At 37.2% G+C, this 26,817-nt stretch overlaps 1 protein-coding gene across 24 annotated transcripts in view; it reads left to right on the top strand.

Annotated features, from left to right (window-relative positions):
• The window catches only part of GRM8 (glutamate metabotropic receptor 8), an 814,344-nt gene that overhangs the window by 259,961 nt on the left and 527,566 nt on the right, over positions 1 to 26,817 (top strand). Inside the window, exon 1 of one of the 24 annotated variants that reach the window (XM_047420274.1) lies at positions 2,302 to 2,389. The exons of the other annotated variants lie outside the window; for them this stretch is intronic. The gene's annotated coding sequence lies outside the window, so the exon portion shown is untranslated. Of the gene's footprint in view, positions 1 to 2,301; positions 2,390 to 26,817 lie in introns of those variants that run through there. 24 annotated transcript variants of the gene reach the window in all.

The raw sequence follows: 26,817 nt of genomic DNA, 5'->3' as shown, positions 1-26,817 counted from the left end.
TCATAGTTACGGATGTTGGGAAGTCCAAGATAAAGGTGCTGGGAAGGTAAGTTTTATTTTGAAGTCCCTTCTCTTAGCTTGCAGGTGGCCACCATCTCACTGTGTGCTCACATGACCTCTTTGTGTACACACACACACACACACACACACATACACACACACACACACACACACGGAGAGAGAGATGGCACGCTCTCTGGTGTTTCTTCTTATAAAGACACTAATTAATTATGAGGGCCCATCCTCATGGCCTCATGTAAACCTAATTACCTATCAAAGTACCCATTTATAATACTGTCACATTGAGGGTTTCAACATATAAACTGAAGTAGAGAAGGGGACAAAATTCACTCCATAGAAATATCCTTATTTAATTTTTCTTTAATTTTTCTTGGTAATAATTTGTAATTTTTAATGAACTGCCTGTGCCCACCTGTTGTTAGATTTAATCCTTAGTTTTACATGATTTTTGATGCTGTTGTGAATATATTTTGTTTTATTTCCAATTGCCTATTGTTAATATATAGAAATACAAATGGTTGTTTTCTATTGAACTTGTATCCTGCAATCTTGCTCAATTAACTTATTAGATTTAGTGGCTTTTTGTAGATTTTTAAGATTTTCTACATGCACAATACACTCTTTCTGAATAAAGACAGTTTTATTTCTTCCTGTCTTCCTTATGTGTCATTTTTTCTTTTTGCTTTATTGAACTGGGACTTGCAGTATAATGTTCAATAAGAGCAATGAGAGTAGACATTCTTGCCTCATCCCCAACCTTGTCAGGAGAGCATAAGAGCTTAGGACATTGTATTTGCATTTGTATATTTGTAACTAAGCAAGGCACTGTGATCAGTTTATTGGCTACAGTTTTTTTCCTTACTCAGATTCTGTAATCACTGGTTATAGTAGCTTTAGGCACTTTAACTCTGTTTCAATTAGAGAAGTTCTTATTTATCTATAATTTTATATATTTAGCTGCTGCATATTTTTTTCAGATTCCATAGCTTAAAATCATTTTAAAATTACTGGTATAATGTCATGCTATTGACTTTTATTAAAGTTCAAAGCAGCCACTGAACCTCACTGATGAAAACACTGTGTATTATGGAACTTAATTTTTCTTGGGGAAGGGCCATGAGAGAAATTCCTACTGAAATTTTAGTACTAAGGCTACACTGAGTATCAGCATATAAAAATATAGACCATACACTTTCCCTCTAACATAATGAGATTTTAAAAATCAACTCTGTTTCCATTTTTGCTTTAGTAGAAGTTCACAGTTAAATGTTTTGCATAATTGTGGCCATCATGATTTTTTTATTTGCATCCTTTTTTCCCAGTATTTGCATATGTTTTGGTTTATTTTAACAATCTTAATCTATTTATGTCTTTTGTTGTAAGTCGACTCAAATCCTTTTTAAAAAGGTTTAGATTAAAAATTATAATCTCTTTGAATTAATAAAAAAGCTATTTCATAAAAGGCCCTACCTTTTAAGTAATTAATTTGTGTAAATACCTACTTTTAAGAGGCTTAATGGAAAGCTATAAATGGAAAGTCTCTAGGCTTCGGAACACAGTCTTTTACTGGCCTTGTAAGATAAGCTGCTAAAGAGAAACAATTGGAGTGATGATCTTGTTGAAGTGAAGCAAAAATGCTTCTGACTAAAACAAAGCGAAACAACAAACAGAGATTTGCTGTTTCCTTCAATGATTAAAGAGAAATGATTGAATGTCCTGAAAATAACCTAGTAAGTGGAACAGTAAAGATTCACATGTCTCAGGTTTCTGGGTGGTATGGCAACAAGAAGTTGTGAGGTTACTGCCAGTCATTTCAGTCTATCTTGTGCTGGAGGAAATGGCTTATTTTGTATCACAATAATTAGAATAATATAAAAAATTTAATCCACATAGCAATTATTAGTTAATATTTGTACTACCTAATTACACAAATGTACATTTTACATTTACATTATACATTTTAATTCTTATTGTAAATTGTCTTAAGTTAAACTATATATAATGATGATTTTAAAAATAAAGAATTGACTTCTCTAACACCCTAAATGTTTAATTTTTATATGTAATTATTTGGAGAAAAAAGCAACATTTATTTTTAAAACATTTCTATTGTGTTTAGTATTAAAATGTGCTTTTAATGTTTGAGAGAAATGCTTTGTGCCAAATTCAATGCCAAGTACTTGAAATGCATTATTTTATATTTTTCACAACAATGCTATTGTAGCAATTTCACTTATGCCCATTTACAGATGAGAAATGGAGGCTTGGAAAAGTTTATTAAGTTGCCCAAGGTCACACAGTAAAAGGCAGAACCAGGATTTAAACCATGGCTGTCTTAAGTAGCATCTCCATTGGAAAGCATTTGTCTGTAAGTAACGGTAACGTCAACAATCTTTTATTCCCACATCAAGCTATCTGAAAACAGGGGATTGTTTGCATAGGTTTAGTTGCTTAATAATCCTGTTTAATCCTCTGTTCCACCATTCCCATTGAGTTTGTTTTTCATTTTCATGCTTTTTATTTCACGGTTGCAAAATACATAATGCAAGCCTAGGTATTGTATGTTCAGGACATGATGAAGGGAGAAGTGACAATGCCAGCCATATTTCTCCTTTTTTTTTTTTTAATCATGAAAGCAAAATCTTTTCAGGGAACCCTCTGGTGGGTTTTGCTTGTATCTCATCAGCCAGAACTGTGTCCAGGGCAATGCTTAGCTGCAAGAGAAGCAGGAAAAATAAGTATTTAGTGTTCCTAGCCACAGAAGAAGGTGGCTGGGGCCTGGGAATGAGTATGGTTGGCCAAACAACAGTGTCTGAGGCAATGGATATTAAATAATGCTGATTCTCTTAGGTTAGCACTAGTGGAATATATGTATGAATTTTAAAGGCAATGACTGAAATGGAGACAGTAAAGGAGAATATTTTACTTCTCTTTAAGGTTTTAATCCAATTTTCCGCCCGAGGGCTTCGGGGTGCTTTTCTCTGCCTTCCTATCCCCCATTTTTTTTTTGAGTCAGGGTCTTGCTCTGTCACCCAGGCTGGAGTGCAGTGGCTCACTGCAACCTCTACCTCCTGGGCTCAGGTGATCCTCCCACCTCAGTCTCTGGAGTAGCTGGGACCACAGGCACGCACCACCATGCCTGGCTATTTATTTTTATTTTTATTTATTTTCTGTACATTTTGTAAAGATGGGGTTTTGCCATGTTGCCCAGGCTGGTCTCAAACATCTGGGTTCAAGCAATCTGCCTGCCTTGGCCTCCCAAAGTGCTGGGATCATAGGCATGAGCCACCGTGCCCAGCCCCCAGTAGCCCATTTTTGCAGTGCTATATTATCTTTCCTGAACATGCCCTTGAAGTGGATACAGTAGTGCGTGTCAGGGTGAGAGGATGGCAAGAAAGAGGAACAAGAACCTGACCCCTGCTCTAGTTTAGGATTTAGTGGAAGGCAAGGCAAACGTATAGTTGAAAGGGTACAGGACACTGTGATTAGAGGTGCAGATTTCAGCTTATTTTCAAAGTTATAAAAAGGAGATAAGCTTGAATAATCAGGCATTGTTAATAGAATTTAAGCTGGCAAGCTTTGAAGCAGAGTTATGATTTATTATCTTGTTAACCTTTAACTTAATAATCAGAATAATTTAAAAGATAAGAAAAAAGTTTAAAAAAACAGATTCAGTGATAAAAGATTAAGAGAATTTAGGAAATTTAACGGAAAATAATAACTGTTAGTAAAGTTATAACTTGTATTGGTTAATTAATGTACTTAGGTTTGATTTATTGTACCCTAAGAGCCTCTATGGGATCTCTGTACTTAGGAAGGTTAATATTAATAAGGATAATGACCAAATGACCATCATCATGTCTGGTCCCTCTGGAAATTTTTACAGATGGGATATAGTTTTATATGTTTGGGAGAAGTTTAGTGAGGTCATTCTTTCATTCAAACAATCATATATTAATGCATAGTCTGTGCCAGGAAATACATTTGGCCCCAGTACTATAGAAGTCACAGTTCTTATTCTCAGGAGCTTGTGATCTAGGAGGGAGTTTGTCTTCCATTACCCATTTGACTCTCTCACTTTATGGACCTACTGGTCCTACCTAAATGCCAAAGCCAACTTGACTATTTGAGTGAATTCACTGGTCAAATTGGACAGAAATGCAAAATGAACAGTTAATAAGAATATTCAGGTTGCATGTATATAGTTTGTATGTTCCTGTTATCCAAAATAAAATGTAGAATTACTTACATCAACTAAAATTCTGCTCTTCCTTACTGTACATACTAAGAACTCATTGCATAATGCTGTTGAATTTGACAAAAATCTGGGAATTACTAACTCAAAAAAATATGGCTTTGCTGGCAGAAAAATGATTTGTACAAGAACACCCAATAGAGTACCTAGCACATAATAGGCACATAATTAATAATTTTACAAGCAAATGCTGCTGAATGAAAGCAAATGAATCACCATGTCTCTGTAGATTATTTTACAAGAGTTAGTAGGACTTTTATAACTAAATTCTATCACTTATGAAAATAGGAGACATTTTAGAAAAGTAGTTTGTGTTGGTTACTTAAGTCAAGTTAGGTTCAAATTATTGTGCCTTAAGTGCTTCTATAGCAATTTTGCTGGAAATATGTAAAGTGGTGCATGAAAGTTTTCTCATGGTATATCTAAATCCTCTGTTTAACTGACAAGTTCTTTTGATGTCCTTTGCACAAAATGACGCACGTCATTTCGCATGAAGGGTGATGTGCTAGCTGGCAATTGTTTGCTTCCTGCAGGGTTTTGATGGAAGTGTTTTGTGATAGTAGCTTGATATATATTCCTGACTTTTAGTTTGAAAAGCTCAGTGCATCTGTGTTGTCATTTTTTTTTTTTAAACGAAGAGCTTTAGTGTCTTTAATTTTGAAACACCCAAATTTTAAATCTCTGTGCCAAGATGGAGAGGACCATTCATTAATGTAGTTTTCTGCAGTGTCATTTTCTTTAAATCACAAGATTATTTCCACACACATGCTAATTTTAAAATTGGAATGAGTACCTACTCCCATAGGTATAGAGAAGAAACCTATTTATTTTAGGTGTTGTAATTTGATAAGAAGTTAGTTTAACTCTCTGGCTGTTGAGTAATTTATAATCATGCTTTGTCTGCTCAGGTACATGTGTTGGAGATAAAACTGTAAACAAGAAGGCCGGGCGCCGTGGCTCACGCCTGTAATCCCAGCACTTTGGGAGGCCGAGGCGGGCGAATCACGAGGTCAGGAGATCGAGACCATCCTGGCTAACATGGTGAAACCCCATCTCTACTAAAAAAAATACAAAAAATTAGCCGGGCGTGGTGGCAGGCACCTATACTCCCAGGTACTCGGGAGGCTGAGGCAGGAGAATGGCGTGAACCTGGGAGGCGGAGCTTGCAGTAAGCCGAGATTGCACCACTGCACTCCAGCCTGGACGAGAGAGCGAGACTCTGTCTCAAAAAACAAACAAACAAAAAACAAAAAAAAAAACTGTGAACAAGATATGCTTCTTGTCCTTAAAGAACGTAACACTTAATATACAAATATTGTGGTAGGTGTTGCTATAGGAGAAAACAGAGTTTGGTGGATGCCGAGCAGGAGGTACATGAGCTAGTGGGATGAGAGTCAAGGAGACATTGGGTGTTTGTGTGGGAGCAGCCACATAGTGAAATCACTTTCAGATCTCTACCAGCACGTCTCCTTAGGTGTTTGAGATCTGAAGTCACTTTCAGATCTCAAAAAGAAAAGTTTTTTACACGACTAAAAGCTATAACACCTTTATATTAAATCAGATTCCAAATATGGAAATGATTTAGAATATTGAGAGGTAGCCTGATGGAGTAGTGCTTGAAAGCTCAGACTCTGGAGCCAGACTCATAGGTTCAAATTCTGACTTTGCCATTTATTGATTCTAGGGATTTAGGCAAGATACTTCTTTTACGCGCAGTTTTCCCATTTGAAAAATAGGGATGATATTACCTAACTCATAAGGTTGTTATGAGGATTAGATGAATTAATATTTATTAAAAAAGCTTGAAACATTGCCTGATGTAGCAAGTGCTATATCAATGTTTGTTAAATAAATATTGTCATACAAATATAGAAGCACTTAAACACAATTAAACATTTTCCTGTTGTCTTTGATATGACTTATGTCTTCTGTACTTTTCTAAGTCAATGGAGGTAATTCTAGTGGCCTGAAGCTCATGTTAAATGGTGTTGGGAAATGGGTTAAACATTGATTCACTATGATCTAGTCTCCTCTACTGAGAGGAAATTATTTCTGTATATTAATGTATATGGATATTTTCTATACATTTGTGTATATTAATAATTTTGAACATTTTTCAAGAGGTCTGAGTAACAAATATAAAAGTGCATAGCTTCTCAGAGACCACTACATTTATGATAACAGAAACAGACATTATTATGAAGAAAAGAAAAGTAAAAATAATTTGGGCTTTAGTAACTTTAAGCATCAGTTAACTTCTTTAGTTGTATTTAGGATGTACTCTAACTATAAGAATTAATTCAACCATAATAAAATATGACATAAGGATAAAAAGAATTTTCTTTCTCTTGATTACTAAAGCAGGTTATGATAATAAAAGTGACTTGGGATTACAGCCTGTGTGTGGTGACTCAAGCCTGTAATCCCAGCACTTTGGGAGGCAGAGGCAGGAGGATCATTTGAGCTTAGAAGTTTGAGACCAGGGTTGAAAGACCCTGTCTCTACAAAAAATGTTTTAAAAAAATTAGTCAGGGGTGGTGGCACATGCTTTTAGTCCCAGCTACTCAGGAAGTTGAGGTGGAAGGATCACTTGAGCCCAGGAAGTGTGGAGGCTGCAGAGACTGATGATTGTACCACTGGACTCCAGCTGGGACAATAGAACAAGACCCTGTCTAAAAAAAAAAATGACTTGAATTTTTGAATTTTTATACATTTAACCCTCATGAAAAAGGAATTATATATTTTTGAAAAGGTGATTAGAATATTTTAACAATCTTTTAGTAGTTCTGCTTCAGTTACTGCTATGATTTAAATGTCCCCTCCAAAACTTATGTTGAAACTTAATCCCCAGTATGTCACTATTGAGAGGTGGGGCCTTTAAGATGTGATTGGATAGTGAGGAACCTGCCTTTATTAACTGATTAATGTATTCATGGCTTAATAGATAAATGGGTTGTCATCAGAAGTGACTGGTGGTTTTATCAGAAGAGGAAGAGAGACCTGAGTAAGCATGCTCAGTTTCCTCCCCATGTGATGCCCTGCCCTGCACTGCCTTGAGACCCCACAGAGAATCCCTGCCAGCAAGATGGCTCTCACCAGACATGGTCCCTTGACTTTGGAGACTTCTCGGCCTCCATAACTGTAAGAAATAAATTATTTTCCATATAAATTAACCAGTTTCAGGTATTCTGTTATAAGCAACAGAAAGTGGACTCAGATAGTTACTAATAAACTCAAATTGTAATTTTGCTTCTCAGATCTTTAAAATACATAAGAGAAAAACATTTAGTTTGAGATCATAATAAATTAATGAGTTTTCTCTTTTTATTTTTTATCATTCTGTCCAGTGGCGAAGTTATTAATGATAACCAGATACTTTAGTTTGAGGTTGAGCTGATTTTAATTTGTGGATGTTAATCCAAAAGTTGCCAACAGAAAGACATTCTGTGACTAATTCAAGCTATTGAGCATAGGGCCTTATACCCTGTGGAAAAAGACATGATGTGGGCTTCATGCACGTGACAAGGAAATGGGAAATATTAATATATATAAAGTTGGCCAAAATATGCTAAAATTGTTTGCTTGTGCTTCTTAAAACTCTCATTTGTGTCAATAAGCTCAGTAAATGATCTCTAAAAGCTTTTCTTCTACTTCATGCATGTGTGTGTGTGTTGTGTGTGTGTGTGGTGGAAGAATTTATTGGAAACTGGGAGTATAATTATCAGGAAACTTTTAATTACATAAAATGAGGCATATGCAGGTATATATCACATGAACCAAAAGGTGCATCCGCCTGAAAGGTCTAAAATCATTTTCAGAACCAAACAGGTTATAATTCTTACTCCTAAGTAAAATGGTAAAAATAACAGAATTATTCAATTTTAGGGTTATCTTTTCAAGGCAATAACTTCATAAAAAAGAAACTTGATTCCATAGATAATAGGGAGTCATAATGTATTACTGAGTAGGGTAATGACAAAATCTATATTAGGCAGGGTTCTCTAGAGTGACAGAACTAATAGGACATATTTATATCTATATATAAAGGGGAGTTTATTAAGTAGTATTAACTCACATGATCACAAGGTCCCACAATAGGCTGTCTGCAAGCTGAGGAGCAAGGAAGCCAGTCCGAGTCCCAAAGCTGAAGAATTTGGAGTCTGGTGTTCAAGGGCAGGAAGCATCTAGCACGGGAGAAAGATATAGGCTGGGAGGCTAGGCCAGTCTAGCTTTTCACATTTTTCTGCCCACTTTATATTCTGACTGTGCTGGCAGCTAATTAGGTGAACCCCTGATTGAGGGTGGGTCTGCCTTTCCCAGCCCACTGATTCAAATGTTAATCTCCTTTGGCAACATCCTCACAGACACACCCAGGATCCATACTTTGAGTCCTTCAATCCCATCAAGTTGACACTCAATATTAACCATCACAAGTCCACCCTTGCCAACTTGAACCCATACACATCCTGAGATCATATGTAATCTTCAAATAAAGACAATAATAAGGTCATAATTATGCCTAACATAATACAACTATCCTTCATGCAACTGGAAACACACCAATCCCCAAGCCAAATGCTATTCCATAGAGTTAACAATACTTAAATACTGATATGGATATGAAGTCAATAAATCTTATGTCACATGATAAAGGAAAAAGGAAATAAAATGAAGATATTTTCTTGGTACAAATGAAGATATTTTCTGTATACCTGAACAAACATGTTTTTAGCAAAAGGAGGAGGAAATACTCATGACAATTACAGTCCTTGTTTCTGCAGTTGGTCACGTGGTCATAGCTGGTATTGATGACTACACTCTTCTCCTACCCATTCTGTATTCCCTTTGCCTTTAGCAAGCACCTTAGCAGGCCGTGGGTTTTTTTCCTGGTGGAGTGACCCAAACCTTTATTCCTGAAGTGTCTGGGTCATTTGTAGTCCTGCCTGGATTGGGCTATTGTAGTTTCCCATTAACCTTAATCAGAGGGCATGGTAATACTAAGAGATGCCCTAATGGATCTCCTGTATTCCACGCATACCCTTCCTTACCTCCGTTGTGGAGTAGTAGACTGGTTTCATCTTGATAGTCTGGGTCAGTCACCCCAGCCAACATTGTAACTCCCTTCTTAGCCTGTTGACTTAAAGGTAGGAGGAACCCCAAGTGTCCAGGTAGCAAAAATTTTGCTAGTGGGTCACTAGGGGTGATAATAAGAGGTGCCACTTCCACTTCCACCCCTGATTCCTGGACTCTGCATATCCTGGCTATGGGAAAAGCAGTACCGTATATTGGAAGCTGGCTCAGAGCATACACAGCCTTCTGGAGAACTTTGCCCCAGCCCTGCAAAGTATTGTCACTTAGTTGGCATTTTAATTCTGACTTCCAAAGGCAATTCTATTATCCTTTCAATCCAGATGCTTCAGGATGGCCTTTTGATGGCACCACTCACCATTACTCCTAGTGACCCACTAGCAAAATTTTGCTTCCTGTTCCCACAATATTATGTTCTGCTGGCCTAGAAGTCTTAGTTCCAGAGGGAGGAACACCAGGAGACACAACAATGATTCCTTTGAACTGGAAGTTAAGATTGCCACCTGGACACTTTGGGCTCCTCCTACCTTTAAGTCAACAGGCTAAGAAGGGGGTTACAGTGCTGTCTGGGGTGATTGACCCAGACTATCAAGACGAAATCAGTCTACTACTACACAACAGAGGTAAGGAAGGGTATGCAGGGAATATAGGAGATTCATTAGGGCATCTCTTAGTATTACCATGCCCTGTGATTAAGGTCAATGGGAAACTACAGCAGCCCAATCCAGGCAGGACTGCAGATGGCTCAGACCCTTCAGGAATGAAGGTTTGGGTCACTCCAGGAAAAAAACCATGACCTGCTGAGGTGCTTGCTAAAGGCAAAGGGAATACAGAATGGGTAGTAGAAGAAGGTAGTCATCAATACCAGCTATGACCACGTGACCAGTTGCAGAAATGAGGACTGTAATTGTCATATTTCTTCCTTCTTTGTTAAAAACATGTTTGTGCATGTACACACTTGTACTAAGAAAATATCTTCATTTCCTTTTTCCTTTATCATGTGACATAAGATTTATTGACCTCATATCCATGTCAGTATTTAAGTATTGTTAACTCTATGGAATAGCATTTGGGTTGGGGATTGGTGCGTTTCTAGTTGTATAAAGGATAGTTGTATTATATTAGGTGTAATTATGACCTCATTATTGTCTTTATTTGAAGATTATGTATGATCTCAGGAGACGTGTATAGGTTCAAGTTGTCAAGGGGTGGACTTGTGATAGTTAATACTGAGTGTCAACTTGATTGGATTGAAGGACTCAAAGTATTGATCCTGGGTGTGTCTGTGAGGGTGTTGCCAAAGGAGATTAACATTTGAGTCAGTGGGCTGGGAAAGGCAGACCCACCCTAATCTGGATAGGCACCATCTAATCAGCTGCCAGCATGGCCAGAATATAAAGTGGGCAGAAAAGCATGAAAAGGTTAGACTGGCTTAGCCTCCCAGCCTACATCTTTCTCCTTTACTGGATGCTCCCTGCCCTTGAACGTCGGACTGCAAATTCTTCAGCTTTGGGACTCAGACTGGCTTCCTTGCTCCTCAGCTTGCAGACAGCCTATTGTGGGACCTTGTGATCATGTGAGTTAATACTACTTAATAAACTCCCTAGATAGATAAATAGATAGATATAGATATAGATATAGATATAGATGTATTTATCCTATTAGTTTTGTCACTCTAGAGAACCCCGACTAATAAGATGCAGTATTTATTTGTCTTCCCTCTGTCAAACCTTGAGCCAACCACTTTTCTCAGATTGCCTGAGAAAGGTATAGGGAAAAGAACATACAAGATAGATGAGACATGGAGGAAAGAACTATTAATGGTGGGGACAGCTTCTTTACATGGTGAAGAGGATGAGAAAAGCCACCCTTAGGCCAAAGAACTCCATGGCCTCTAAGAGGGTGCTATGGTTTAAATATTTTTTCCCTCCAAAGTTGAAACTTAATACCCAGTGTGTCGGTATTGAGAAGTAGGGACTTTAAGAGGTGATTGGCTCATGAGAGATCTGTCCATAGGAATAGATTAGTCTATCCATGGATTAATGAGTTAATGGATTAACTGGTGGCATTATAAGAAGAGGAAGAGTGACTTGAGCTAGCACTTTAGCATGCTCAACTTCCTCGCTATGTGATACCATGCACTACCTTAGGACTGTAGAGAGTGTCCACCAGATATGGTCTCTTAACTTTGGACTCAAGTTCTCCTTAAACTGTAAGAAATAAATTATTTAAAAATAAATTACCCATTTTCAGATGTTCTAAGCAGCAAAAAACTGACATATATAGAGTGCAAAGCCCCAGAATGGCATAGGAGAAGACTTGTTGCTTCAGACAGGGTTCTTGGCATAATCAATGGTGAGGCTCCCAAACACAGCTGCAATTTTAGCCCCAGAGCCAGCTGTCCTGACTTTGGAAGTCCTAGCCCCAATGAACTTGGCTGCTATGCCAATATCCCTTGAAGTGGTGCTGGTTTGGAAGCTGTGACTAGGGTTAAGTGAGGTCGGGGGATGTGGGGCTGCCAAACTGCTGAAGCTCTCATCTGTTAGTGTCTCTGGTTGCTTGAGAACTACTGCAGAGAGTGGTGGGCTTAGCACCTGACAGGTGCTCTCAAACAGAGAAAGGTGGGAACACACTTGGCACAGGTGTACATTTTCAGGGGTGAAAGACTGGGGCAAGGGAGCTTCCCTAGTGCAGAGAAGGTTGAGAGAGGCAATGACTGGCACTTTTAAAAGTAGTTTTTAAAGTAGTTGTGATTTAGTGTGCATGACCAATTGTAAGGAAACAAAATTGAGACAATAAACCTTTTGGGGAGGTTGTTTTAGAGATTCATGTATGAGAAATGACAGCTTAGTTAGTATGGCCCACTGGGAATGAAAGAAAGGTAATAGTTCAAGAGAAATTCTGAAGAACTATCGCCAAGGTTAAGGAGCTGAGGAGGTGGTATCTTCCAAGGGCGAATGCCTAGTAGTTTGTTGTACTATTTGAGAATATAAATAGTTAAGAGTTACATTTAAAACTGATGATTGAAAAGTTAAAGTTTGGAGAACCTTTCAAGACAGAATCAAGGACAGAGGCAAGAATTAAGCTTTGAGTAAAAGTTCTAAAGAAACAAAGGTGAAGAAACTCTAGATTCAAGTAAATATTAAAACCATTAGTTACTGTCATCTGAAGAAAATCAAGAGAAAGCAGGCCAGCTGCTGTGGGGATGGATCCACTTGAATGAAACCAAAATATCTTGTTACCATGAAGCTAAAAATGATACAAACTAATACTGAAATTCATAGCTGAAAGAATCATTTCCATTAGGTGTTGACTTGTTTATCGTTAATTTTTTTCTGACCAGAATGTAAGCTCCATGAGAGTAGGTGCCATGTCTGTTTTATTTGTGGTTATATGTTCAGTAGTTAGACAAGGGATTGATAAATATTTGTTGAATGAATAAATGAATAAACCCTTGCATACTCTGACCTTAAGTGGGAGATAAAGTCTGCCCAAGTCCAAGAACAATGTTTGCCCAAATTGAGAACAAAATGGAATCCTAGGGCACACTGTCCAGTAGCGCATGATGAAAATATTCTGTATACTAGCCACATATGGCTATGGAGCAGTTGAAATGTGGCTTGTACATCTGAGGAACTAATTGCCACATGCAGCTTGTGGCTACTGTATTGGGCAATGCAGATGTGTATAATGACTTCACCAGTTAGGAAACCTGCCTCTTCTGGGCAGATGTAACCTGTGCCAGGGCAGTGGCTTTGCCAGGGGCCAGAAGCAGTGTGGGACTTGGGAAGGAAATAACGGATTCACTGCTGGGGCTGGTTTTATTAATCCTTAGCCCAAGGGATAGGAGCTGTCTGCCAAGCTTATGTGAGATCCAGGTTACTTCACCAGGGAAAGAGAGCAGAGAGGTGTTTGGGTCCAAAGCCCTAGTTAGCAGTAAAAATGAGTTTACTCTGAAGGTCTTTGTGAAAATACCTGTTAGAGAACTAGAGGCTTTCATAGATGACTAGAAAAACTTCAAGATTTAGGGATTCTGGTCACCTTTCTTTGTACCACATGAACGATAATTGCATTCGATCATTAAAAGACGGACTAGGCTCATATAAATGCTTAACAAACACTCAAGACACCCAGGAATTCACAGTTGAGGAAAGCAACGTCTTTCAATACTGTAAGTATAGCAGATACTAAAAAATACTTCTATGTATTTAGCTATGTATTAAATTAGATGAACATTTATATTTATCATGTGTATCTAATTTTTATTAGATTTTGAAATGTTATACTGTGGTTTTTGTTTTAGCAGATTTACCTGGTTATAGCTTGCTTAGGCAAGTATTAGAATTATTCTGATTTCCTTGAGCTCCCTGCAGCTTGGCCGGGAGAGAAGGAGGGAATTGTTCAGGAGTGTGCTAAATTGGCTTTGTATTTAGAATTCACCCAGTGATAATACATATCAATATCATGTATTGAGCTGCATGTGGGAGCAGATGTTTGGCATGTGTCAGGCTACTTCTGGGAATAGTCTGTATTGAAGAAAGGAAAGTATGCTTCAGATCTTTACACATAATTTATGCAAGTGAATAAGGATTTCTCACAAAGGAAGAATGCCAGACAGACTATTATATTTAGCAAGATAAAGTGTGCTGTGTGCAAATTCCCAAAGTCGGCCAGTATAGCAGAGGACAAAGAAATATTAATAAATTCCTGTTTTATAGGAGATTAGTTCTCTAACGAGCAAACAAGCAAGAAAATAGGGGAGTCTCTTAGGGTTTTCTGAAGATTGGTTCACCTCCCTTAGGCTAACCATTTGTTTTCATTGTCTTTATGAGAGAAAGTCTTTTGTAAGGATTTAATGTGCACCACAGGAAAATGTTTACATATTGGAATCTTAAGGTTTGGAGGGACTTTCAAAGATCATCTAATCCTGCCACCTATCTAACACTTGACTTGGTTTTGCAAAAGTCTTACCAAGGGTCATCCAATCAGGGTTTCAGCATCTTCAGGAGAGAGAGTGATCAGTAGCTCCCAAGCTGAGCCATTCTGTCCTTAGAGGACTTTGACACCAAGGTACCCTTAGAGAGTCTAATACATCTGTCCTACTTGTAACCACTGGGGTCAAACACAACACCTCTAATTCTTTTTCCCAGTGAAGTTATTAGGATATTTGAGCATGCTGATCAGATCTCCAGGGTAAATATGCTCAAGTACTTCGAGGAATTCTTGGATATTATTGATTTGATTGTTTGTACATCTCAGGTCATGCTTGAATGTGCTCAGTTTCTCCATGCTTGTATTGCAGTACTTCATGGGTTGTCCAGGCTATATAGAGATAAGTGGGGCTTTTGCTTCCTTTTATACAGATTCTCTTCTCCTTTTCCTCTCCTTCCTCTCCTCTCCTGTCTTTTCCTCCCCTCCGCTTCCCTACTCTTTTTCTCCTTCCCTCCTCTCCCCTCCTATAATACATTACATTTATTCATTCACTCAAAAATATTCCATTTACTGTTGATTCACATTAACCTTTCTGTAGACTAAAATCTCTAAGTCTTAGTTGCCTGTATTGCTACTATGCCACATCTCCATTCTGTACAAAACAATTGTCCTTTTGGACTTAATCACATCATTTTACATTTACTTCTATTTCTTTTCAATTTATTTCTATTATTACTTTTCATTTGTGGATACTTCATTTCTATAAGTACTTTAAAATTTATTTTTATTAATTTAAGATATAGTCCTTGTCTCCAACCTGTCAGCTTCCAACCCCATTCAGTCATCCACATGGCCACTCTCCCTTCTACAAATTTTATGATGTCCGCTCTATTTTCTTCCAGGACATTGAGTAACATGGTGAAACAAATGGAACCCAGAAAAGAATTCTATGATTCTGAGATTTAGAACTAGGTTGATGCTGATGCACTAGTTAACACCGTTTGAATATAGCTGTTGAAACTGTTACTGATCTGCCTCACAGTCTGGGCACTCAGCTCCTGTAATCCATTTTATCTACAAGATTAAGTTAAAAGACCTTCTTCTGTTCTCTTTGGAGGTGATGTGTGCTAGGTTATCTTCAATTTCTGTAATCTTAGGAATTATATCAAAGAAGGAAAGGGCATTTGATGATTCTTATTTCCTTCTCCAGATATTGTGTTGTCCTCTCTTTAGCATATTTCTTAGACAAGCAGTACCCTTTGATTCTCTAACAGACACGTAGGACTGAGAGGAGGGTACCAGAAACAAACTGAATATTCAGGTAATTACTATAAATTGTGATGCATTTTATGGTAGCACAAAACATAACAAGTTGCTTTGCCATATCAAATGAAATCCACTATTTTCTAGTCAGCAGAGAACTTGAAATAATTGATGTTTTTGTTAAAACAAATCAGAACCTCTGAACCATGGCTAATTCTTATTTCTGAAGGTTTTTCTTGTATTTTCAAAGAACTGAAAATATTTAAAATTTTTAGCCACATCAGTGTCATGAAAATTCAGGAGATTTATATACATTTTGGTGAAAATGAGGAGGCACACGAAGAATCCCTCAGTAAAAATAAAACCCTTGCAGCAAGGTGTATGCTAATAAGTCAGTTGGATACAACAGTGATGGACAGAATTGAAAAATTTCAAATCAGTCTTTATCTTCTTATGTGGAAAATAGGTGTTGCATTCATTATGCAACTAAATCAAGGTAAAATCTGTAAAAAAAAAAAAATAATGAAAATAAAACCCCAACCCCCTGTCATCTCTATAGTAAAACAGGAACTAGTTTCCTATAAAGACATGGCTGCTTCCTTCTCCTTCAAGTCGACAGATACTCTCTATGACCAGTGTGACTGTTTCTAAGTTGTCATTATTCAGGTGACTGAGTTTTATATTAAATTTTATTCCACATGTGCAGTCATTTAAATTATGTAGACATTTTAATAAAATCAGTGTTATCCTTTTGGAAACATAAGACCATTTTTTGTTAAATTTCATGATACTTTGTATTTTCGTTTTTTTTGTTGTTGTTGTTGTTTTGAGACAGAGTCTCGCTCTGTTGCCCAGGCTGGAGTGCAGTGGCGCCATCTCGGTTCACTGCAAGCTCCGCCTCCTAGGTTCAAGCGATTGTCCTGCCTCAGCCTCCCGAGTAGCTGGGACCACAGATGCCCACCACCATGCTCAGCTAATTTTTTGTATTTTTAGTAGAGACGGGTTTCACCATATTAGCCAGGATGATCTTAATATCCTGATCTTGTGATCCGCCCCCTTCGGCCTCCCAAAGTGCTGGGATTATAGGCGTGAGCCACTGCGCCCGGCCAATACTTTGTATGTTCCATTCTCCAATTGGAAGCATAAAAATTTAAGAACATCGTAGTTTTAAAAAGAGTATTATGATAAAGCTTTAATTTCTGATTTTAGAAAGGAATTCAATATGGACCAGGACCAGAAGAGGTATCTAAGGTTTGAAAATATATTTTTTGAAGTATAGATTTCATTGATAGTTTATGTGTGTGTTTCCAGTATAGTGAGAAAATGAGAAAGTCATCCATATCCATGTGTTTTTCAACTTCATTATCACTACAATTTGTAACTATTTGGACCTTGAAGAAATGTCCTTGGCAGTCCCTGATTTCATGTTTGTTTGTCCATCTGGGTTGAGCCCTGGTTAGAAAATTAATAATAATTAAATTAATATTAACATAAGTAATAATAAAGAGAGGACTGGGTGGTCATGAGGTAGGCAGGAGTTAAAATGAAATTTTCTTAGTTGAAAGTTTGTAAAAACAGCTATGTATTATCTCAACACTTCATTAGAGATTTACATTCTTAGAATTTTTAGAAGCTGAAATAAGTATTTTATTTTCTTGTTATAATTAACTCATGTGCATGGAGACTACCGGAGATAATTATTGAAGTTATTAGAAATTCTGAGCTCCCAAATAAAACTGTCATAAGATCTTGTCCTGTTCTGTGATGGCTTACAGAATTAATGCATTTCCTATGGGCAGGAGTGTTAGCATAAAGTTGAGGGTAGGCGCATGCCTTCCCCACCTTCATCCAAGATTCCCAGAGTGAAGGCAAATGGGAGTGGCCATAAACTTGATAAGACAAACAGATTATACAAAATCTACTTTCTTTGTTTTGAAACAAATTACAAACTGCAATTTAAAACTCAAGACGGAAAATAGAAGCCTACTAGGGCCACGTCCTGGTAACATATGTGACCTTCATCATCCTCCCTTCTCCCTGAAATGTAAATCATGTTTTGTCTCCCTAAATAATCCTCAAATCTCAAGATTGGAATTCATGTTTAAGAAGAAAAACCTATCTTGGTCTAACAGCTTGACACCTTCCTTCTAACTGTGCTATACTCTCCTTTGATCTGATTGACTGATGTGTTCTGGTCATGAACATGACCAGTTCATGTGGGTAAGTGCTATTCAGTGGGAGAAGTCTTCTTCTAAGTTTAGAGGGTGGGTGCTCTTACACCAAGAGGAAATATTTTTTGTTTCATAAACAGTCTATGGAATTAGGTGGTTGATTATGATATTGGGTTATATTCTTGTTCTAAGAATGGGGATTCCAACCTATGAGCCCTCTCAGCTTTGAGGCATCTGAACTTTGAGTCCCACTTGCAGCTGTCACATTGACTAAGTTAGTGGTTTTTTTTTTTTTTTTTTTTTTTTTTTTTTTTGAGACAAGAGTCTCGCTCTGTCACCCAGGCTGGAGCGCAGTGGCGCGATTTTGGCTCACTGCAAGCTCCGCCTCCCGAGTTCACGACATTCTCCTGCCTCAGCCTCCTGAGAAGCTGGGACTACAGGTGCCTGCCACCATGACTGGCCAATTTTTTAAAATATTTTTAGTAGAGACAGGATTTCACCGTGTTAGCCAGGATGGTCTCAATCTCCTGACCTCGTGATCTGCCCATCTAGCCTCCCAAAGTGCTGGGATTAATTATAGGTGTGAGCCACTGTGGCCAGCCAAGTTAGTGGTTTTTAATCAGAATTGCACATCACAATAACCTGGGAAGCAAGCCCACACTTATATCTCCAGCTACCTTATTTCATCAGTTCCAGTATGTACTTTTTTCCCCATATTTTCTCATTTTTGAAATCTGGATGTGCTTTACATTAGTTTGATCAAACTTTTTTAAGATAAATTTTATTGTGCATATGTGAGGCTTACAACGTGATGTTATGGGATACATGTAGACAGTAAGGTGTTTACTATAGTGAAGCAAACTAACATATCTATCATCTCATGGAGTTACTTTTTTGATGACAAAAGCAGGCAACTAAATCTACTTATTTAACGCAAATGCCCAATACAATACAATTTTATTAACTACAGGTTGTGTATCTTTTATCCAAAATACTTGAGGCCAGAAGTGTTTCAGATTTGGGCCTTTTTCTGTATTTTGGAATATTTACACATACATAGTGAGATATCTGGGGGATGGGATCCAAGCCTAAACACAAAATTTATGTTTTATTACACCGTATACATATAGCCTAAAAGTAATTTTTATTCAATATCTTAAATAATTTTGTTCATGAAACAAAGTTTGTGTATGTTGAATGATCAGAAGGCAGTGTTGCCACTATCTCAGGTACCTGTGTAGCATCATGTCTGTGCTCAGAAAGTTCCAGATTTTGGAGCATTTTGGATTTTAGATCTTTGGATTAGGGATACTCAACCTACATAATCCTCATGTTGTTCATTATATTTCTGGACCTGTGCATCCTAGTTAACTGCTACTCTCTCTGTATAGTTGACGTTTTTTATTTAGACTCCACATATAAGAGAGATTATGCAGTATTTTTCTATGTTTCATTTATTTCACTGAGAATAATCATGGGTTAATTTCTGCCTTATCTTTCTTAGTGATACATAAAATAATGGTGTATCTTATGATCAATGGCATCTTAGAATCAATGAAATATTGATTGCATCAACATCTCTGAGGGGGATGGTGTCTCACTGTGTGAATTTTACAAAAGCCCTACAGTTGAGTCTGATGCACACCATTGGTTATAAATATGTTGACCTAGATCTTGGCATATTTTTAAAATTAACAACAATAATAAACTTATCACTGACATTCATTGGTTTCTCTCTTGCCAGGACCTGGGCTAAGCACTTTCTATACTTTTAATCTTATTTAATTATCCCAACCAACCTATTGGATAGATGTTATTATCCCTACTATATGGATTAAGATACAGGCTTGGAGACATGAAGTAACCTGTCCAAGGACATGTATGTATTAGTAGAAGAGCAAGTACATGAGCCCAGGTGGGTTTCACTCCAAAGCTCTAACCACTATTTTATACAGCAAAGCAATGGTTTGTAAAGTGTGGTCTGCAGACCAGCAGCATCAGCATCCTCTGGGGATGTGTTAGAAATGCAAATTTTGGGGCCCTACTGCAGACCTAAGGTATGAGAAACTCTGAGAGTGGGGCCCAGTAATGTGTTTTTACAAGCTTTTCCAGGTGTTTCTGGTGCATCCTAAACTATTAGACCTATTAAGACCACTGTTGTACAGCATACAATGCTCCTGCAATAGGAATACAAGACATAGCTAATAAAGATAGGACCTAATAAAGTTTATTGGATAGCTGTCTGGCTCATATTGTAATCTTAAGATAATGCCATATTTGCAAGGTTGACTAAGCTTTTAGTTGCTTAATAACAAATAAAATTGCATTTGCTCAAATGTGCTTTAATTATAGTTCCCAGTAGGCAGAACTATGGTAACTAAATATACTAGGCTCTAATGGTTTTTGCATAATGAGCATAGTCAAAGCACTTAGCATGAATGGATTACAATTCCCCATACTAGTTGGGAGAGCTTTAGAAGGACCACATGCTTTTCTTTGGTTTGACATCCTCTTGTCCTCAATCTTAGTCTAATCCTATTATTTCTTTTCTTTTAAAGCACAAAATACGGCATCTTTGTTCCTAAGAGGAAAGGATGAACTGACAATATCCTTCCTTGTATTATCCTGGTTTGATAGATTGGTTAAATCTAGCATTTGTAATGCAGATAGAAATAAACAGTTTCTGAACAAAAGCTGATTAAAGAATTTAGTTGAAAAAATAAAGAACCTGCTTGCTTAGTTAAAAAAAAAAGGTGATTGACATTAAGGAATTAAGCATCCCCAAAGGATAACTAAATTTGATTCCGAGAAGAGAAAAGGCAGTGTAAAAAATAATATACCAAAGTGACAGTGTAGAGATGCCTGGTGAATATGATTGTGTCTACTCAACATCAGTACAACTATTTGAAAAGCACAACATTCAAATAGTAATTTTTTTGCTCTGCATGATGCAAAATAAGCAATTTGATTTTTCTTTTTTCACCAAATTGACTGGTTCTTGAATGTGTTATTTGACCCACAGTACTGTATTATCCACAGCATTTCCCAGATGACTGAACTAAGTAGATGTCTTATTGTTGTTTTTTCCTAATAGACATGTATGGGGATGAAGATAGTGGTAATTGGAAAAGGGGAAAGCATAGCATTTGGAACTTGGAAGTGGAAATTTTAGAAGCATGAGCACTACTCAGCCTAGGGACCTGTTATTCGGCTACAGTGACCTGCAGACCCTGTCTCTACCTCCACGGAATTGTGCACACTTATTAGTGCAGATTGGTGTCTTATAAATACGGCAAAGGGATTGAAGGCCTTGTTGCAGATCTTGAAATGCTTTCTTTGTGATACCTGTTTCTGATGTGTGGCTTGAATTTCAAAATGTTACCTGATTTATACCCAAAAGCTATTTCCTCCTGGGTCTTTCTGCCTTGAATAAATCTTTGGACTTTTGCCTTATACACCCGGATCTTATTGCTGCCTGTGCTCCTGTTGCTATTTGGTCTCTATACTGGGAGTCCAAACCACCTGTCCAAACTCAAAACCTGCCGACAACCTCCATTTTAACTAATCTCTTATAAATGGATATTAGTTCTCCTCATGGACTCATAGCCCTCCTAGAAGATTCAGCTAAGTTCCTTGATGAAGGTGGCTACCATTGTAGTGTAATAGTTAAGTGCATTCATAAGACTGACCTTTAATTGAAGCCCCTATCAACAATTCAGTGATTGTGAAATCTGGAGTAACTTTCTGGGCTTCAGTTTCCTTATCTACTTTATATTCAGTGAGATGTATATGAATATATTTGAATGAGTGAAACACTGACGAACATAAAATAGGATATGTTTAAGGCAGTTAGCAAAGCCTAATGCAAGGATAGAGTTCAACATGTTTTTACCATTGTTATTATTATTTCCCTCCTATTCTTTGGTTATTTGTTTTTAACATTGTTACCACCCAGTCCCTGTATATATAAACTGGCCTGGATCTCTAAAAATTGTGTGTTTATGATGTACAACATGATGTTTATATGTACAGGCTCACCTCACTTTATTGTACTTTACAGATAGTGTTTTTTTTTTTTTTTTTTTTTTTTTTTACAAATTGAAATTTTGTGGCAACCCTACATTGAGCAAGTCTATTGGTGACATTTTTCCAACAGCGTGTGTTCACTTAGTATCTCTGTGTCACATTTTGGTAATTTTCCCGATATTTCAAATTATTTTTACTATTATTATATCTGTTATGGTGATCTTTGATGTTACTATTGTGATTGTTTAGACAGTGAACTTGATTGAAAAATGTTATATATTTTCTTACTGCTACACTGACCAGGCATTCCCTCATCTCTGTCCCTCTCTTTGGACCTCCCTATGCCCTGAGACACAACAATATTGGAATTAGGTCAATTAATAACCCTACAGTGGTCCCTATGTTATCAAGTGGAAGGAAGATTCATACCTCTGTCTTTCAATTAAAAGCTAGAAATGATGAAGCTTGGTGAGGAAAGCAGGTCGAAAGCTGAGACAGACTGAAAGCTAAGCCTCTTATGCCAAACAGCCAAATTGTGAATGCAACTGGAAAGTTCTTGAAGGGAATTGAAAATGCTACTCCAGTGAACACATGAATGATAAGAAAGCAAAACAGCCTTACTGCTGATATAGAGAAAGTTTTTGTGGTTTGGATAGAAGATCAAACCAGCCACAACATTCCCATAAGCCAAAACCTAATCCAGAGCAAGGCCCTGACTCTCCTCAATTTTATAAAGGAAGGGAGAGAGGTGAAGAAGCTGCAGAAAAAGAATCTGAGGTTTCAGGAAAGAAGCTGTTTCCATAACCAGAAATGCCAGGTAAAGCAGAAGGTGCTAATGTAGAAGCTGAAGCAACTTATCTAGGAGATTTAGTGAAGAGCATTGATGAAGGTGGCTATGTTAAACAAGAGGTTTTCAATGTAGACAAAGCAGCCTTCTATTGGAAGATGTTGTCTAGGACTTTGATAGCTAGGGAGGAGAAGTCAATGCTGGCTTCACAGGACAGGCTGACCCTCCTGTTAGGTGCTAGTGCAGCTGATGACTTTAAGTGGAAGCCAATGCTCATTTACCATCTTGAAAACCCTAGGGCCCTTAAGAAGTATGTTAAATCTACTCTGCTTATGCCCTATAATTAGAATAAAACTTGGATTACAGTACATGTCTTTATAGCATGGTTTAATGAATATTTTGTGCTCACTCTTAAGACCTGCTGCTCAGAAAAAAAAAAGATTCCTTTCAAGATAGTACTGCTCATTGAGAACACACCTAGTCTTCCAAGGGCTCAGATGGACATACACAAGGAAATTAATGTTTTTATGACAACTAACACAACATCCATTCTGCAGCCCATGGATCAAGGAGTAACTTAACCTCTCAAGTCTCATTATTTAGGAAATACATTTTTTTAAGGTTATAGGTTTCCTAGATAGCGATACCTGTATGTATCCGGGCAAAGTAAATGAAGACTCCTGGAAAAAATTCATCATTCTAAATGCCAGTAAGAACATTTGTGATTCATGGGAGGAGGTAAAAATAGCAACATTAACAGGAAGTTTGGAAGAAGTTGATGCCAACCCTTAGGGATGGCTTTGAGGGGTTCAAGACTGTAGTAGAGGAAATAACTGCAGATGTGGTGGAAATAAGAAGAGAACTAGAATTAGAAGTGGAATTTGATGATGTGACTGAATTGCTTCAATCTCATAAAACTTGAATGGATGAAGAGTTATTTCTTATGGATGAGCAAAGAAAGTAATTTCTTGAGGTGGAATCTACTCCTGGTGAAGATGCTGTGAACATTGTTGAAATAACAAAGGATTTAGAATATTACATAAACTTAGTTGATGAAGCAGTGGCAGGGTCTGAAAGGAGTGATTCCAATTTTGAAAGAACTTTTACTGTGGGTAAAATGCTGTAACAGCATCACATGCTACCAAGAAATTTCTTGTGAAAGGAAGAGTCAGTCAATGAAGTAAGTTTTATTGTTGTTTTATTTTACAAAATTGCCACAGCCACTCCATTTATCAGCAACCACCACCCTGATCAGTCAGCAGCCATCAACATTGGGGCAAGACCCTCCACCAGCAAAAATATTATGCTTTTCTGAAGGTTCAGATGATTCTTTGCATTTTTAGCAATAAAATATTTTAAAGTTAATGTGTGTACATTTTTTGATACAGTGCTGTTGCATACTCAGTGGAATACAATATAGCCTAAACATTACTTTTATATGCACTAGGAAATAAAAAAGTTCACATGACTCACTTTATTGCAATATTCACTTAATTGCAGTGGTCTGAAATAGAACCTGTGACATCTCTGAGCTATGCCTGTATACATTGTGGGGTGACTAAATCAAGCTATTTAACATATGCATTCCCTTATACACTTAACAGTTTCCCTGTTGGCTAGTCTAGGCTACTTCCATCCCACAACCATCCATATCCTGCCATTTATAAGACCAATGCAAATTAGTATGAATCAAATAATTTCTTTAGAGAGTTTATTATTATCTGCTAAAGCTTATCAGCATTGAGCCTTTGAATCAAATGGTTTCCTTAATCTTATGCAATAAGAAAAAGCTTTTTAGGAGTGTTTCTCCTAAAATTTTGTGATGATTTTTATGGAAGAAACTGTATCAAAATACAAATGTTTAATTCCGTGGTTCTGACTTCCTAAGTTGAGTAAATAGCAGAACTCAGGTAATACTAAAGCTTAACCATTTAATGCTTAGGATTGCTTCCTTGTTAATTAGGGTAACTTTATAGACATAATCATTGGTTTGGTTTCAAACTTGGCTGTTGCTTGGCCTTACAGCAGCAGTCAACTAATCTAAGCAATTTACCATTCTTATAACAAGGATGCAGAGGAAGAGGCAAAAGTACTTAAGTGGGTTTGGAAATCATTGCAGTTAAGACTTGATGGAGTCAGATGATTAGATAATGACTGGCATAGAAATATTTTATTGACCATGATTTAATAGCTTCACAATTTTCTTTTCATTTTAAGAGCATTTACATACTTCTGAGTTGTTTAATAGATAAATCTCAGACAATGGCATTATAACATGATGGTGATACAATGATAAACTCATATATTACATCTAATGGATATCAAAGTGATAGTTTCTCCAAAACCAACAGATAAGACATTTTCATAAGCTGAAATCATAAAATGCATTTACATCTGCATATGTATCGTGTACATTTATAGGTGCACATTTAACTCTGCATGAATATTTATGTAGTCACACATATGAATTGGGATTTATTATTAGTGCTCAATATGGAATTGTAAAGTCATGGAGGCTTAAGGCAGTTTCCTCAAAACCTACTTTTGCTTCATTATGACTTACTGGTTTAAACTTAACCAGTTGTATATTAATAGTACTGTTCTGTTTGAAGCGAGGACTATTCTTTTCAAAGCTTATTAGGACTGTATATGAATTTTGGACCTATTTAAGATTTGATGAATTGGATTAAAGAAATAACATCTGAAACCTTGTAAGTTTCTAATCATGAAGGCTGCTTTCTGTTTTATGTGATTGAACATTTTAAAATGTTTTTGAAGAAGCATTTGCATTTGGGGGCAAATGGAAGAGACGATTTCCTAATGAAAGTCAAAAATGAAGAAGCAAGGTCCATGTAATGCATCTGAGAGTGCTGTACTTTTTTTTTTCTCAAGGGATGTAGATTTAAGAGGTTTTCACATAATCCAAGCTTGTGAGGCATTTATTCTTGCACAGATTACTGTTATCCATTGAACTTTACAGAAATAAAGTGTGGGTTATTTTCCCTTTGAAAAATGTGTGTGAATATGTAGCTTTGATGATGTGAGTCATAGGAGGAAGTCTTAATAACCAGTGGTGTCTCTGAATTGACATGAACAAAGTAAAAAGTGGAAGAATTTCATCTTCCATTGCTGTTAAATGGATTTGGAATTTGTTTAAGTCAAGTTTATAAGTGTATTCAAATCTTTCCTGGTCTAACCATGTATTTGATCAAATCCAATAATCTTGATACATGATATATAAAGGGAGAAAGGTGTACACACACACACACAAACACACACACAGAGTAAACAAGGCAGTGCCAACAACTACCAGAAACCCATCTGTCACCCATGATCCTAATATAGGTTATGTTATGGCCTAGGCATTCTATCTCTCAGGATGAATAAATCTAACAATAGATGCAAAGTTCTTATCTTTTTCTGTCCTGGGGAGATCAGAGAAGGTGGGGTTGGGCCTAAAGGGGACATTACAATATTGTATTACAAAGCTAGCAGCCCCAGTTTTTGAACAATGGGTGCTTCACCTTCCCTCTCTACCGCTGTTCCTGCCCCATGACTTTTGTCCATCAGAGCAGACCAGAATCACAATTCAGGTCCATCACTATCCTTTCCAAATACAATTCTGTTTTTAATTGACTCATTTTTTTCTGAACATCTAGGAGCGAGTTGAGTAGCAAATTATTTCTGTTGGCCCAGTTGTTTTGTTTCATTGAGAAGATGAGTTTAGTAAATAAAAAGTTTTCTGGCTGGGCCAGTTAAAGACCAGTATAACAGTATCTTTAATTATTTTGCTATTAGAATAAAACATGTCTACTCCCTAAATCTAAGTATAGAAATCATTATACATATATCACTTTATATATATTTCTCTCTTTCTCTCTTTCATGGGAAGGTCATCATAATATTATTCTGTATGAAAATTTCCAGCATGCAAGCTGATGCCTACTATTGTTTTCCTTTCCTTTTAAGGTGAAATAATTGCAAACAACTTGAGGAAATCTCTGGCCAGGCGCAGTGGCTCATGACTGTAATCCCAGCACTTTGGGAGGCTGAGGCAGGCGGATCACTTGAACTTATGAGTTCTAGACCAGCCTGGACAACATAGTGAGGCCCCATCTCTACTAAAAATACAAAAATTAACTGGGTGTGGTGGTACATGCCTGTAGTCCCAGCTACTTGTGGGGCTGAGGTGGGAGGATGGCTTGAACCCAGGAGGCAGAAGTTGCAGTGAACCAAGATCATGCCACTGCATTCCAGCCTGGGAGATAGAGCCA

Source organism: Homo sapiens, chromosome 7 (genome assembly GCF_000001405.40).
Source record: "Homo sapiens chromosome 7, GRCh38.p14 Primary Assembly".
NCBI classification, from domain to species: Eukaryota; Metazoa; Chordata; class Mammalia; order Primates; family Hominidae; genus Homo; species Homo sapiens.
This window is presented reverse-complemented; position numbering and strand designations above follow the sequence as displayed.